We start from the raw sequence: 13,984 nt of genomic DNA, 5'->3' as shown, positions 1-13,984 counted from the left end.
CCTCGTTACTTAATTTAGAGAAGGGAAGCAGAAAGGGACAAGGAAAAGAGAGTAAAGGAAAGGAGGGCAGTAAAGTCATTAAAAAGGCAGAACAACTCAGAGTTGGCGCAGAGGAACGCAGCGGTCGTGGGCAGGGTCTTTGGAGCCAGGCTGCTCCCGCTCCACCGTATGTTTTTGCCTCGTTGTGGGCAGGTCAGTTAACTTCTTCATTCCTCACTTTTCCCCACTGTAAAACGAAGCCACTAACAGTACCTTACTTCATGAAGACCAAGGGAATTAACACTCGTGGAACATTCAGAAAAGGACCTGGGAAATTTTAAATGCTCTGTATTTATTAAGTACAAAATAAAGAGAAACTCAAAAGAGAACTCATTTTGGGGAGATTTTGGAATTAAGGAAGAAAATTTTTAAAATAAAAAGCATCAGCTAACAGTATACCTCAAAAGTGCAAGCTGAAGCAGTTGACCTTCAGAAATTCAGCATGTTCTATAACCTAGCAATTCCATCCATGCGTGAGAACATATGCCAAGGAAATCCTCATTGTTTCCACACAGGTGGTCTCTTATGTGGATGCTGACAAGAGGTGATGGGGAGGGTGCTGATTTTTAGCGTATACTTGGGCACATTTTAAATACTGGAGCTTTTCTAAGCAAATTTTGTACTCGAGCGCTGTTATTCCTCTGGTAGAACTACATGAGGTAGACTATTTTATAGGAAAGTTTTGAAGCTCAAAAAAGTCACTTATTCCAGATGGTACATCAGAGATCTGGAATTCAAGAAAAGAAAATCTGACCGAGGATTTTACTTTTACCCACCGATTGTAACATACGGAAAGTCAGAAACAAGGCAAGTCCCTGATGGATTTATTAGGAAACATTACTCAATTTCCACAAAGCCCTAGAAACTCTTCTAGACAACAATATAGCAAAAGTTGGGGAAAATGGCATTTCTGGTTTCAAACAGCTCAGTTTTTGTTGGATAACACAGATTAAAAGTAAAAATTACTGCTTAGTGAAATGAGTGCTGATGTAGGTGCACAGAGAATAGATTTAACTTCTGCTCCTGTTAAGTGTAGGATTGAGGTGAAGATACAACAAAGAAAGGAAATTGAACGGAATTATTAAGAGGGTCAAGTTTGATAGGCAGATAAGACTAGGTATCAGCAAGACATTTCAAACAAAAGGAACATTATGTAATTTTTTAAAAAAATACATGAAAATAATATTTAAACAAGGAAGGAATATGATAAAAGAAGGATAGTTAGTAAAATTTGGATAACATAAAGATTATTGAATCTCCAGTCGTCAAATTTATCCTAAACTACTGGGGAGAGGTCTCATGTCAGATTTTGATTATCGAGAAAGAGGGGTCAAGAGTATAAGAGAAATTGCTTTTTGTTTTGAACTTCAGTGTCCACTATTGTGGACAATATCAAATTCAAACAAATATACACTTTATTTCAACTTTGTTTCCCCATGTGACTAAATGTTTTTCTCATTTTTATTTCTATCTATTCTGTGTATAGCTGCTGCTTTCTTTGTTTCTCATGTTTCAACTCACTTAATATTACTTTAATGTTCAAACTTTGGTATTTCTCACACCTGGAAAAAGATATGCTGGTTCTTTTATATTTTAAAATGATATGCTTTTGATTTTTAACTTTTATCTCAAATTAAGTGTCTAGGGTCATATTTAAGTTTTTTTCATGCTTGCTTTTTATAATTGAGGTAAATAACATTTTTTGCCCTTGACAATCTTTAATAAGTATGTATTAAACGGAATGGGGAGAGGATAGTCAAATTAAAAGCAGTCCTCTCTTTCAGTTGTATAATATATAACAGTCTTCTAATACTTTTCATGCCAAAGAAATGAAGTCCATTGGTTGTAAATGTATTAATTCAGATGTTTATAGACATTCTAGCATAAAAAAAAATTGTTGGGTGGTTAGCAGGAGGACAGGTTTTGTAGCACCATAACAAATCCCCAAAGAAAAGTTAACCCGGCATATAACACAGATTCAGTGGGCAAAAATAGAACTGCAGATCATCCATCACTTTTGTGTCGTGACCTCTGCTAAATCTACTAACAAATTCTGTGTTATTTAATCACAATGACAGACCCAAATACAAATGTCGTGACTTTGCTGTGTTCCCTGGGTCTTGCCATATCACCATCACCATTTTATATTCCCTTCCTGGGGACACTTTGGAAGATTTAGAGGCTTTCAGCCTAATCTGACTGGCTCCACACAAACAGCTGGAGCTTTGCCAAGAGCCGAGCTCGATTATGTCAACAAGACAGCCTCATCCACAGGGGAGCTCCAGCCGGGTGTGCGGGAGTTCTGGGAACCGCCATGAATTAGCTTTATATGCTCCAAGAGGCAATTTCCTACAAAAACAGACTTTAAAAGCTGCCAGAGGAAATTGTTTCCCATTGGAACTAGGCCTGGCTGACGATTGTCTTCAGTGACTATGTCAATTTGGTAGTCAGTCCTCAGGACATACCAGGCCTTGTCCTTGGATTCTGTCTCTCCACAGAACCAAGCCCAGTAAAGCCTGCATATGTAAATAAACTTCTGTAATGATTATGGATCTGTCCCAATTATTTAGGTTATTGTTTTTAAGTTTAAAACTTAGCTAACTAGATAGATATTTTCTGACCTCAACTTAAATAGTATTCCTGCTATTACTTAAAAGAGAGCATTCTCTTAAACATAGCATCCAGGTTAGGAAGAGGAGCAAAGCGTTCCATGGTTCATTAGCCTTTTGCTGAAGTGTTAAGTGGATCAGTAGGAAGCTTCACTTACAGATGTATTTAAATATTAGTGGCATTTGAGTAAACATTATGCATTTTGATTCTTTGCTATATTTCTTTTCATAGAGTGTTCTAGCTGAAACACAACCAGAAAGGTTAATTTTTAGATTCCCCAATGTGCAATGAATTGGCATCTTACAGTTAGTGTTAAATAGCTACATATATGAACAATACAGTATACTACCTTGTACTTCCTTCAAAGCAAATGTCCAAGGGTTCGAAAGCATTCTAGTGTTTTTGTGAGATTCTACAATGTTTAAGATATCTATAAATAGTAATTTTGGGTACAGTTGTATAAAATGCATTCCTTGAAAAGTTCAGAAACCAAAAGACCATCAGGGGCTGGGAGTGGTGGCTCATGACTGTAATCCAAGCACTCTGGGAGGCCGAGGCGGGTGGATCACCTGAGGTCAGCAGTTTGAGACCAGCCTGGCCGTCTCTACTAAAAGTACAAAAATTAGCTGGATGTGGTGGTGGGCTTCTGTAATCCCAGCTACTCAGGAGGCTGAGGCATGAAAATTGCTTGAGCTCGGGGGACGGAGTTTGCAGTGAGCCAAGACTGCACCACTGCCCTCCAGCCTTGGCAATAGAGTGAGACTCTGTCTCAAAAAAAAAAAAAAAAAAGACCATAGGTATATAAAATTATATTCAGGATAACAAATAACAAGTTGCCAAACAAATGTTGAAGGGACATCAATGTATAAAGATTATGTATATATGAAGTGTGCCATATTGCAAAAAATTGATTTATAAATTAGATTTTTTTCATTCTACAAAAGTTTTTTCTCCCCATAGAAACAGATATTTTGGTAGCAGTTTCAATGAACTTCAGTGTTTGCCAGCTCATTATCAGCTATTCAACCAGCACAGGTCATAGACAAGTCATTTCTGTCACTGATTGGCTACTATCCATATTTTCCTAAATAGCACAGTAAATAATTTGCTTAAATTACAAATTTATAAAACTGGTTTCTTCGTCCTCTCCAAGGTTTAAATCTGGAAACTAATGATCATATACTCATAAATGCCTATTCTGCAAACATTTGATTTTTTTTCTATATGAAGTTGTTAACTTAAACTCAAACTATAGGAAGAAATAGGGAGAAATGTCAAAATTACTATATTTCAATTATTCACCCATTAAAAATTAGGTTTCTATCACATGCCCTTGTAAATATAATCTTTAGACATTGTGAAGACTACAAAGATGAGAAATTGTGCCCAATTCCAATGTGATTCCACTCCCTAAATAAGAAGGACAGCTACACTGTCAGTATAGAAAACATAGAATGTTATGTACCAGAGACGTACAGAGTGAGTGAGGAAGACAATATTAGGGTACCCTCTGCCCTGGGGTGGAAAGAGGATCAAATGAAATGTATGGAGGAGCTGGCATGTCAGACTGAAAACAAGCTGAATTTACACATATAGAAATACAAATAAAGGACCGAGAGAAGTCAAAGGTATCAGTGTGAACAAGACAAGATATGGAATCCAATGAAGAGATTCAGTCCCGTTTTGTTAGAAGAAAGAAAGGAAATAAGTTTGGGCATATTATGTAATGTTACTCTGAGAAATCAGTAACAACATTAGAGTAGCAAGGTTAGAGCAGCATAGCTCTCCTCAAGGTACATGTACCTGGCATTAACGGGCAGGATTGTTAGGAAGGGTAAATACTTGTTGGCTACGAGACCACATGGTAGAGTATACGATTTAAAATATGGACAATGAGAATGAAAAGAAAGGAAAACTTTGAGATAGAAATAGAGTTGACAGCTGATTCTGTTATGATGTGAAGAGGTGGGACACTAAGATTCAGAGCCAGAGCAATTTGGGGCATGTTGGTTCCATCTGCAAGTATAGGTAGTAGAGGAGGAATACAGGGGGTAGTAGAAATAAGTTCAGTGCTATTTATGATTAGTATATAACTGGTATCGTATCATAGTGACTCAAGATCTTGGTAGTGCACAGGACCAGAGAAACATTTGTTAATCATCTGATTTAAGCTAATGGTTAAACATCTCTGAATTGACATTAACAGCTATTTGATAGGATTCCAATCACGGAAAAATATATACATTTTAAATTTTGTTTTATTGAATATTTGGGAAAGCCATTTATGCATTGTAACCTAAATGTATCCAGATGGTATCATCCCATATGGAGGAAAATATATAATGAGGTTGTAAATGGATAACGATTACTCATTCTTAATATACTTATTCATGCATATCTGTGCATGTGTATACTCAATATACACATATATAGATGTGTTTGAAAAATATTTCTATAAAATATTCATATTTTGTAGAGATTTGATTTTGCATAAATGTCTATAAAGTGTTAATAATTATTATAATTTATCATTATTCAAGATAAAATGTAGGGAAAAACGTGGTATTTTAGAGAGTTAAAGTGTGTAAATTTTTGCAGTGTGTTTTAGATACCTCACTAAATGTAAGAATATTCTAATTCTGTTTCAGTTATTAATCACATTTAAATAGAGTAAATTCAACTCTATAAAACGTCATACGGCATACATTTATTATAAATTCCAGTTCTGTTGAAAACAAACTATGCAATTTTTATTTATAATCATTAATTTTTTAATCTTGAATTGAATTTTGTTCCTCTCAGCTAGCAATGTTCCCTGGTTGTGCTGTTATTATGTCAAAGAGAAATTTTTTTAGGTAGTTGATTAGTTACTGTCATCCTTTAACTCTGAAAACTGTAGTGGCCTCCTATGTTTTGGTCTGTACCCAATACAGGCACACAGCTGTAGGAAAAGACAAAGAATGTATTTGAAATCATTTCCCAATGTTATGTCCCCTAAAAAAATGATTTATAAGGAATTATGCAGACATTTTGGCACTTTTTTTTCCACAGTTTTTATTACACTTGTGACTTGTAATTCTATAAACAGTGTTGTCCCAGATGCTGAGTGTCATCTTCTTATACTAGGGTAAAATCCATACTTAAATGCTCCCCACTAATTGTAACCCCAAAATACTAACCTGGTGACTCACATTATAAATCTGAGGTTGAAAACCAGCAACTCATCATGACAACAATTGATTTGGACACATCTTAATATACAGGCTCATTTCTCAGCCTCAGTTTTAATTTGGTGCTTGAGATGAAATTCTGTTTATGAAAATTAAATAGAGGTTAACTGAAGATTAGGCTGTTCTGCTTTTTAAATGTTCTCGGCTTTAATATGACACCATGTGACATCCAGGTTTTATTTCTGTTTGTGTCGGTGTCATCTTCCTGACTCACTTCCTCAAACCAGCTAATAAACACAAAAGGTGAATACAAATTAGTATGCTTGTCACAGCTGCTATCACTCTGGAATTCCCTTTTAAAAATTCAGAATATGAAAGATAAGTAAAACAATGCCTGCTTATTGCAGCTTAATTTCTAGGAAAGATTGGTGTCCAGAAGCCACATCTCAGGCAGTACTCTGTCAATGTTAAAGAGCTTTTTAGCTAGAAACAAAAAAGAGGTTGTAGATGCATTTTCAAAATGCAAAGTGCTGCACACAAGCCAATAGAAATAATAGTAATACACTTTGAGTCAACAACTTAGTATGCACCAAAGATCAGTAAGACAGAAAGAGACACTACTGCCCAAGAATTAATTTGAATCTTATCTGTAGATGCATCTGTCCATGGAGAGCCTGATTCTCTATAACTCATATTTCCCTTAAACCTCCTAGAGTCTGTATGTAACAAGCTATGATATAAACTCATGTCTGTGTATTGACCTACCCTAAGGGATATTTTTAATAACTGCAGCTGTTCACATTTTATGTGTTTTCTATTAGTGTTTTCAGTATGGCACTTGTGCCCCAGGGACAAAACTTGTGTAATATAAAACTTAAAAAGTAAGTTAAAATTTAACATAAATATTACCTAGATCTAATTTACATATATACTAATACCTTTAATTCATTCTTTCCTTCTCTTTCTAGACCCCCCTGAAATTTTTTAAGTTGTTTATGCAATTGTGAAAAATAATCAACCATGTAATTCTTTATTTAAAATATCCTGAGTTGACTTACATATTTGTTGGCCATGGTTAAATTGAAATAGCTAAAATTAATGCATGTTGAATTTATTAGAACTGGCTTAAGAATTTTACTATATGGACAGCTACAATTAGGTAACAGGCCTTAATTTAAATCCCCACTGACTCATAATTCATTACTTAATTTCTTGATCTTTTCTCATAATGTAAATATAATTGATACTTTTAGTTATATGTGCCCAGTACGTAAGCATATGCATGTATTAATGTTGCATCTTTAGTTTCCATTATATTTAATTAGAATATATTTATTAACGTTGAGAATTCTGAGATGTTGTTTATTTATGAAAACAAATTTAGTGTGACCTGCTTGTTTTTGGAGCAGTCAGTAATGAAGCAGCGTTAATGACCTCTGACAAATCAGCCAAAGTGCCCCAAATGAAGCAGCCTCTAGACTTTAGAAAGCCAAGTCCAGGTTGAACAGTCATATGGGTGTGAGCCACCTGTCTAATCAGCTAGTGTTCATTTCACTTCACATTATATTGAAGAGAATATAATGTGAAGTAATATAATACATTCCTACTTCTATTACTAAAATTATATTTTATGGGAATGCTGCTAGCCACTGAGAATCGAAGTTCATGTTGCATATTTTTCTTTATAGCTGAAAATGTTTGCACTGGCTTTATCTACATTAGGTTTTATTGACGTTTTTGTAATGTTTATCACTTGGCTAGACCAAATTGTTGTTATTTTATTTTGCTTACCTCAACAAATTCAAAACTAAAGAAAAAAAGTTGGAACAATTTTCTATTCTTTTATATAATTTTTACATGTGTTAGCCTTAGGGTCAAATGTAAAGTAGCTATTTTTGAATCCAAACTTTGGATTTCTGAAGAAAGATTTGATAAGTTAAAAATAGGCTAAAAACTTGTATTTTGAAATAAATTATAGAACCCCAGATTTCTAGAACAAAATCTATAGTTTTTCAATATTCTAAATGAAATTTTTTTTTTTTTTTTTTTTTTTTTTTTTGAGACGGAGTCTCGCTCTGTCGCCCAGGCTGGAGTGCAGTGGCGCGATCTCGGCTCACTGCAAGCTCCGCCTCCCGGGTTCACGCCATTCATGAAATTTATATTTATTTTACTTTTCGTAATGTCAGTTTGATTGAGAAATAATTTATAAACAGTAAAATTCACCCTTTTCAGTATTTAATATGTTTGACAAATATATACAGTTATGTAACTATCACCACATCACTCCAATAATTTTCTCCAGTTCCATTGTAGTCAACCCCTCTCCCAATCCCAGTCCAACCCAAGTAAACACTAGTTTTTTGTCCCCATATTTTTTGCCTTTTCCAACTATATATTTCTTGTCATAAATATAATTTTATAGTTTGTAATCTTTTGGTTCTGCTTTTTAAAAAGATTCCCGGCCGGGAGCGATGGCTCACGCCTGTAATCTCAACACTTTGGGAGGCCGAGGTGGGTGGATCACCTGAGGTCAGGAGTTCAAGACCAGCCTGACCAACATGGAAAAACCCCATCTCTACTAAAAGTACAGTACTAGCCGGGCATGGTGGCACATGCCTGTAGTCCCAGCTACTCGGGAAGCTGCGGCAGGAGAATCGCTTGAACCCAGGAGGCGGAGGTTGCAGTGAGCTGAGATCGCACCATGGCACTCCAGCCTGGACAAGTGCGAAACTCCGTCTCAAAAACAAAAAAACAAAAAAACAAAAAAAGACCCACAGAATCTTTCTTTTTCAATAATGCCATTATCAATTCCTTTATATGGTTGTATATAACACCTAATAGAGATAAACATCCTTATTGAATCTGAGTGTGGCAGAAGGTATACTTTTAATGCTGCTCATATATATATAAATATGAACTTTTTTTATCCCCACATTGTTGTTATTATTATTATTATTATTATTATTTTATGTATGGCTTACAACAAAATTTAAGGAGCAATCATTGTAATTCTCCAAATTATGTTTAATAAGTTATTCAGTGTATTTTTGAAATGTTTTTGTTATTCTATGTTTCTCCCTCTCTCTGTCTCTTTTTCTTAATATATTAATATTTACCAAGGCAAGACAGTGATTTATGGACATTTAAATTAGTTTAGCTTTGTTCTGCTGTTCTAAAACATTGTGTACTGTCTGATAGACTTTTAAAAAACAGTGCTTTTCCAGGATGATTTATGATATGCAGTATTGTTTATAGATGCCCATGGCTTAACCTTGAAAAGTCAATTAAGTGACACAATTAAGAGAGATATGAATAGTGGTAGAAAAAGCATGTACTCTGGATAAGTGGGGGTAAATCTAGTATTTGTTATTCCTGTCAGTAATATTGTCATTAGTATTTTTTAGAGGTTTATTTTTTATGGTTATAAATTCATGTCACTCTTCTGCAATGGTTACATCAGTGGAATGCAGAAATTATCATGCTTTGGGGATTAAAATTACCTATCACATAGAACTTCTGAAGTTCCAAACAGTGCCTTGATTTACCTTCTTATTCTGTGAGGTTACTGATTTTCACTTACACTTTCATTGATGCTCAGCCCTATAAATTAGTTATTAGTACTTTCACGTTTTAAACTTAGTATTCTGTGTTTTTCTTTTATTTTGTTTGCCAGTACTTTTCTTAGATGTTACTTCACATGTCAGTTTGAATTTAATTTCTCAGTGGCTATGTTTGTCATTTTATATGTAAAGAAACTGGACAGAGAGAAGATGCGATCTATTTTTATATTTTTTAACAAGATAAAAAGGAATAATAGGTAACTTTTTTGTTTAATTAATGCATTTTAAGAAAATATGTAATCCCTGGGGTAAGTTTCTTATCTTTTGTCCTTTGTGGTATATCTCTAAGTATCCCATAGGGATTGGGAATGTAAAAGACTATCATCCTCCTTGTCCCTGGTCATCCTCTAGGTGAGTCTTCCTTACCCATCGGTTGACATTTAAAGTGACTCCACTGCTTACAGTTGATCGTGGGCAAAATATGAACTCTGATTTTCTTTCCACCAGCTGTCAAAATCTTTGTGTAAGTTTATCCATCTCTCATGAATGATGCAAAATTACCTGGTTGCTCTAGGTGTTTGGAAGGCTTTCTTCTTCACTCCATATATCCTAACCATCAACAAGTCCTGCCAACTCCACCTTCAAAATTTAGCAGGTGCCTGAAACTTTCCCTCACTTCAGCCACCACACCACCACCACCCACGTCCAACTCATAACCATCTGCTGCTTAGAGTATTATAGAAGCCTCTGAGAGCCTTTATTTTTTTTCTTCACTATTATCCTTCTATAGTGCCTCAAGTGATCTGGTACCTGCTACCTCTCTAAGCTTTCTCTTTTTTTTCTTTTTTTTTTTTTTGCCATTTTCCTCTGCATTAATATCCTATTAGTACTGTAACAAATTGCCACAAACTTAATGGCTTAAAACAACCAAAGTTATCTTACAGTGAGGGAGGTCAGAAGACCAAAATCAGTTTCACTGAGCTAAGATCAAGATATCAGCAGGGCTTGGCCCTGCTGGGGGTTATGGGGAGAATCAATTACTTGCCTTTTCTTGCTTCCTGCATCCTTAGCTGTTGACCCCTTATTTACATCACTCCAACCTCTTGCTTCATGTCTCCTACCACTCTTCTATAGTCAAATCTTCCTCTGCCTCCATGCTATAAAGATACATATGACTACAAGTATATTCCACCCTTACAATCCAGAATAATTCCCTCATCTCAAGATTCTTAATCACATCTACAAAGTCCCTTTTGTCATATAAGGTAGCATTTACAGGTTGTAGGGATGAGGAGTCATTATTTAATTTAGCACATCCTCTGAATTGCTCTGCTGAAACCAAAGCTGGTTTCTTTAGCAAATCAAGGTTTTACAGCCTCCAAGTTTCTCTGTTGTTTTTTCTGTCCAGAATATGATTAGTCTCATCCTTTAAGTCTCTGCTCAAAGCCACTTCCTCAAAAATATCTTCTCTGACTCTGTTTCTAAAATCTTCCTTTCTTCCCACTCTTTAGTTTTGTATTATTTTCTTCATAGTTCATATAACACTAATATTTTATTTTTTTTACTATCTTATTGCCTTCACCACACTAAGGTCACAGCACTTGCCCTGTTCATTGAATCATTTCCTGGATTCACAGTACTGGCAAGGACACAGTAATCTCATAAATATATATTGAGTAAAATAATATACTATTCCAATTATACAGGCAAACGGCCTAACAGGTGTTAATTAAATTATTTAATGTCATGCAACTATTAGTGACAGAACTATTTTGTCTCAGATATGTCTGACCTCAAAAACCTACATTCTTTATATTATCTCTTTTACTAATGGACTGTAACTTTATCCATGGCCTTTATAATGTATCAACATAAGCCACAAGAAGAAAGAACCAAAACCAAAAAACCAAAAACTAGGGAATCCTGGAGAATGATATTTTTGATAAGCAGTCTTGGAAACCATTTTTGTTTCTTTTCTGACATTGTGCCATTTTGGAATCCATTCCATGACTCTGAGGTGGATACAGGCACAGGGAGTGACTTCTTTAAGTTTTTGAATATGTTATACAATATAGTCCTTAATATGCAAATTATCTTCAGATCACCATAAAAATGATTATGGAATGTTAAATATATTCATTCTTTGGGTAGTTTTTCATTGAAATATTTAGGAAGTCTTTAGGTTTTAATTCAGTATTGAAAATATAAATTTATACATAAAATTGTTACTTTTTATTTATTATTTCTTTAAAGATAAGCATTAATGTATCACCAAATGATTGCGATCAATATGCAAAAAAAACTATCATTCTTTTTTAAAAAAATTAGGAATAACCTTCTTCTATAATGCCATGTAGTTTGTGAGTTATTTCGGCACCATTTATTGCATCAAGCTGTTTGTCTATCAGCCATATTCTTGAATCACTGCATTCATGTAGAGTAGTTGTTGGATGTGTGAGAAACTAGAATTTTATCATGTTGACTTTGTTTTGAAACATGCCTACTTTTATCATTTCCTTTGTAATTTTTATTAGCTAAACAGATAATCTCACAAACTTGTATTACAGTTTTTAAAAGTTTTTGGCCGGGCGCGGTGGCTCACGCCTGTAATCCCAGCACTTTGGGAGGCCGAGACGGGCGGATCACGAGGTCAGGAGATCGAGACCATCCTGGCTAACACGGTGAAACCCCGTCTCTACTAAAAATACAAAAATTAGCCGGGCATGGTGGCGCGCGCCTGTAGTCCCAGCTACACGGGAGGCTGAGGCAGGAGAATGGCGTGAACCCGGGAGGCGGAGCTTGCAGTGAGTCGAGATCGCGCCACTGCACTCCAGCCTGGGCGACAGAGCGAAACTCCGTCTCAAAAAAAAAAAAAAAAAAAAGTTTTTATAACACTATGCTATTAGTGTTAATTACAGTTCATACAATACGATTTACAACAAGTTCTTAATATTACCCCAATACGGTAAGAAAAACATACCTGTTCGAGAGAAGAAGAAGAAGAAAAAATATATATACATATATATATTTTTTTCCTGTGGTCATTCAGTGGCAGACTAAATAAAATGAGAACATTCTAGAACCACTTTTCTCTTTTACATTCTTAAAGAATGCTAATACATTTAGAATTAATTTAAATTAAAATTTTAAAATGACATGCTATTTCTGTTAACAATACGGACATCTTAAACCTTTCGAAATATTTTATTCTTGCATAGTTTAACCCTGATTCACAATTTAGCACCTATGCTGGTAAGAGAAATACCCTGCAGCTTGAGATACCTGGCACTGGGACACGAAAACAGCTACAAAATCTCTCCTGTTATGAGGATAGAGTCTTTTAGACAGATTTAAGACTTTCACTAGGGACATTTCTGGAATACGCTCCATTGTCTCACCTTGATCATTTTGTTGAGTTGAAAATTGAATTTTAATGTTCTACATCTGATGATTGGACTTATATGTATGTGTGTGTGTATATATATATATGTGTGTGTGTATATATATATGTGTGTGTGCATATATATATATATATATATATATATATATATATATATATATATATCAGAGTTTCGCTCTTGTTGCCCAGGTTGGAGTGCAATGGCATTATCTGGGCTGACTGCAACATCTGTCTCCTGGGTTCAAGCAATTCTCCTGCCTCAGCCTACCGGGTAGCTGGATTACAGGTGCCTGCCACCATGCCAGACTAATTTTTGTATTTTTAGTAGAGACGGGGTTTCACCACATTGGCCAGGCTGGTCTCAAACTCCTGACCTCAGGTGTTTCACCTGCCTTGGCCTCCCAAAGTGCTGGGATTACAGGCATGAGCCACCGCGCTGGGCCTTAATATTGTTTTTAACATTTAACTATATATATATATATATATATATATATATATATATATATATATATACTTTCAAACAAATGAGGGCAAAATTTTAAAATTGGCTCTAGCTGTCTTTGGCAAATCAATAAGGATAAATTTACAAATTATTTTGAAAATATATTAGTTAAGACAAGTATTTCTAAAATAGATTTAAATTATTTAAGTAGATTTAATATGCTTAAAGGAGATTCCATTTTTCTATGAAGGAGAAAAACTTTTTAAAATGCTCTTTATTGAGATGATTAATTTTGACTGTACAGTAAGTTATGAAAGAAATTTTTGATACAAAATAAGTAGGGCTCTATAAAACAAGTTTAGATTTCATTCAATTTTGGAATCTATATAGTACTTTCCTAAGTAGACTGCTTTATAAATATTAGATGTTTTATAAGTTTAGGTTGAATGGATGAACACATTTGATGTGACAACTACATAGAAAAGGAAACAAAAAACTTGACATTTTTACTAACTAATATAGTGTCAAAAAATCAGTTTTGTTTACTAGAACAAGCCTTTTTATGGTCTGAAAATAAAATGTACAATAAACATTGTGGACAATTGTATGAGTTCTATATTGAATTATTTAGAATATTTAATTTATAGCACCAATGCTGAGATGAACCAAATATACATTTTGAGGACAGGACAAGTTTTTAGCCGTATCTCAAAAACCAATAAATTTTCCTGAAAAACCCATACATTATCATTCACAATTAAAC

The 13,984-nt window shown here is 34.6% G+C and overlaps 1 protein-coding gene and 1 long non-coding RNA gene across 6 annotated transcripts in view; one reads left to right on the top strand and one right to left on the bottom strand.

Moving 5' to 3' along the window:
• The window catches only part of PCDH9-AS2 (PCDH9 antisense RNA 2), an 89,863-nt gene extending 77,436 nt beyond the window's left edge, over positions 1–12,427 (bottom strand). Inside the window, exon 1 of the long non-coding RNA NR_046527.1 lies at positions 12,360–12,427. This is a non-coding gene — a long non-coding RNA (PCDH9 antisense RNA 2). The remainder of the gene's footprint in view (positions 1–12,359) is intronic.
• Positions 1–13,984, top strand: part of PCDH9 (protocadherin 9) — a 927,503-nt gene that overhangs the window by 392,741 nt on the left and 520,778 nt on the right. The gene's annotated exons all lie outside the window — the stretch shown is intronic.

This window comes from Homo sapiens, chromosome 13 (genome assembly GCF_000001405.40).
Source record: "Homo sapiens chromosome 13, GRCh38.p14 Primary Assembly".
Classification (NCBI taxonomy): Eukaryota; Metazoa; Chordata; class Mammalia; order Primates; family Hominidae; genus Homo; species Homo sapiens.
Note: the sequence above shows the minus strand (reverse complement) of the source record. Positions and strands in the feature narration are given on the sequence as shown.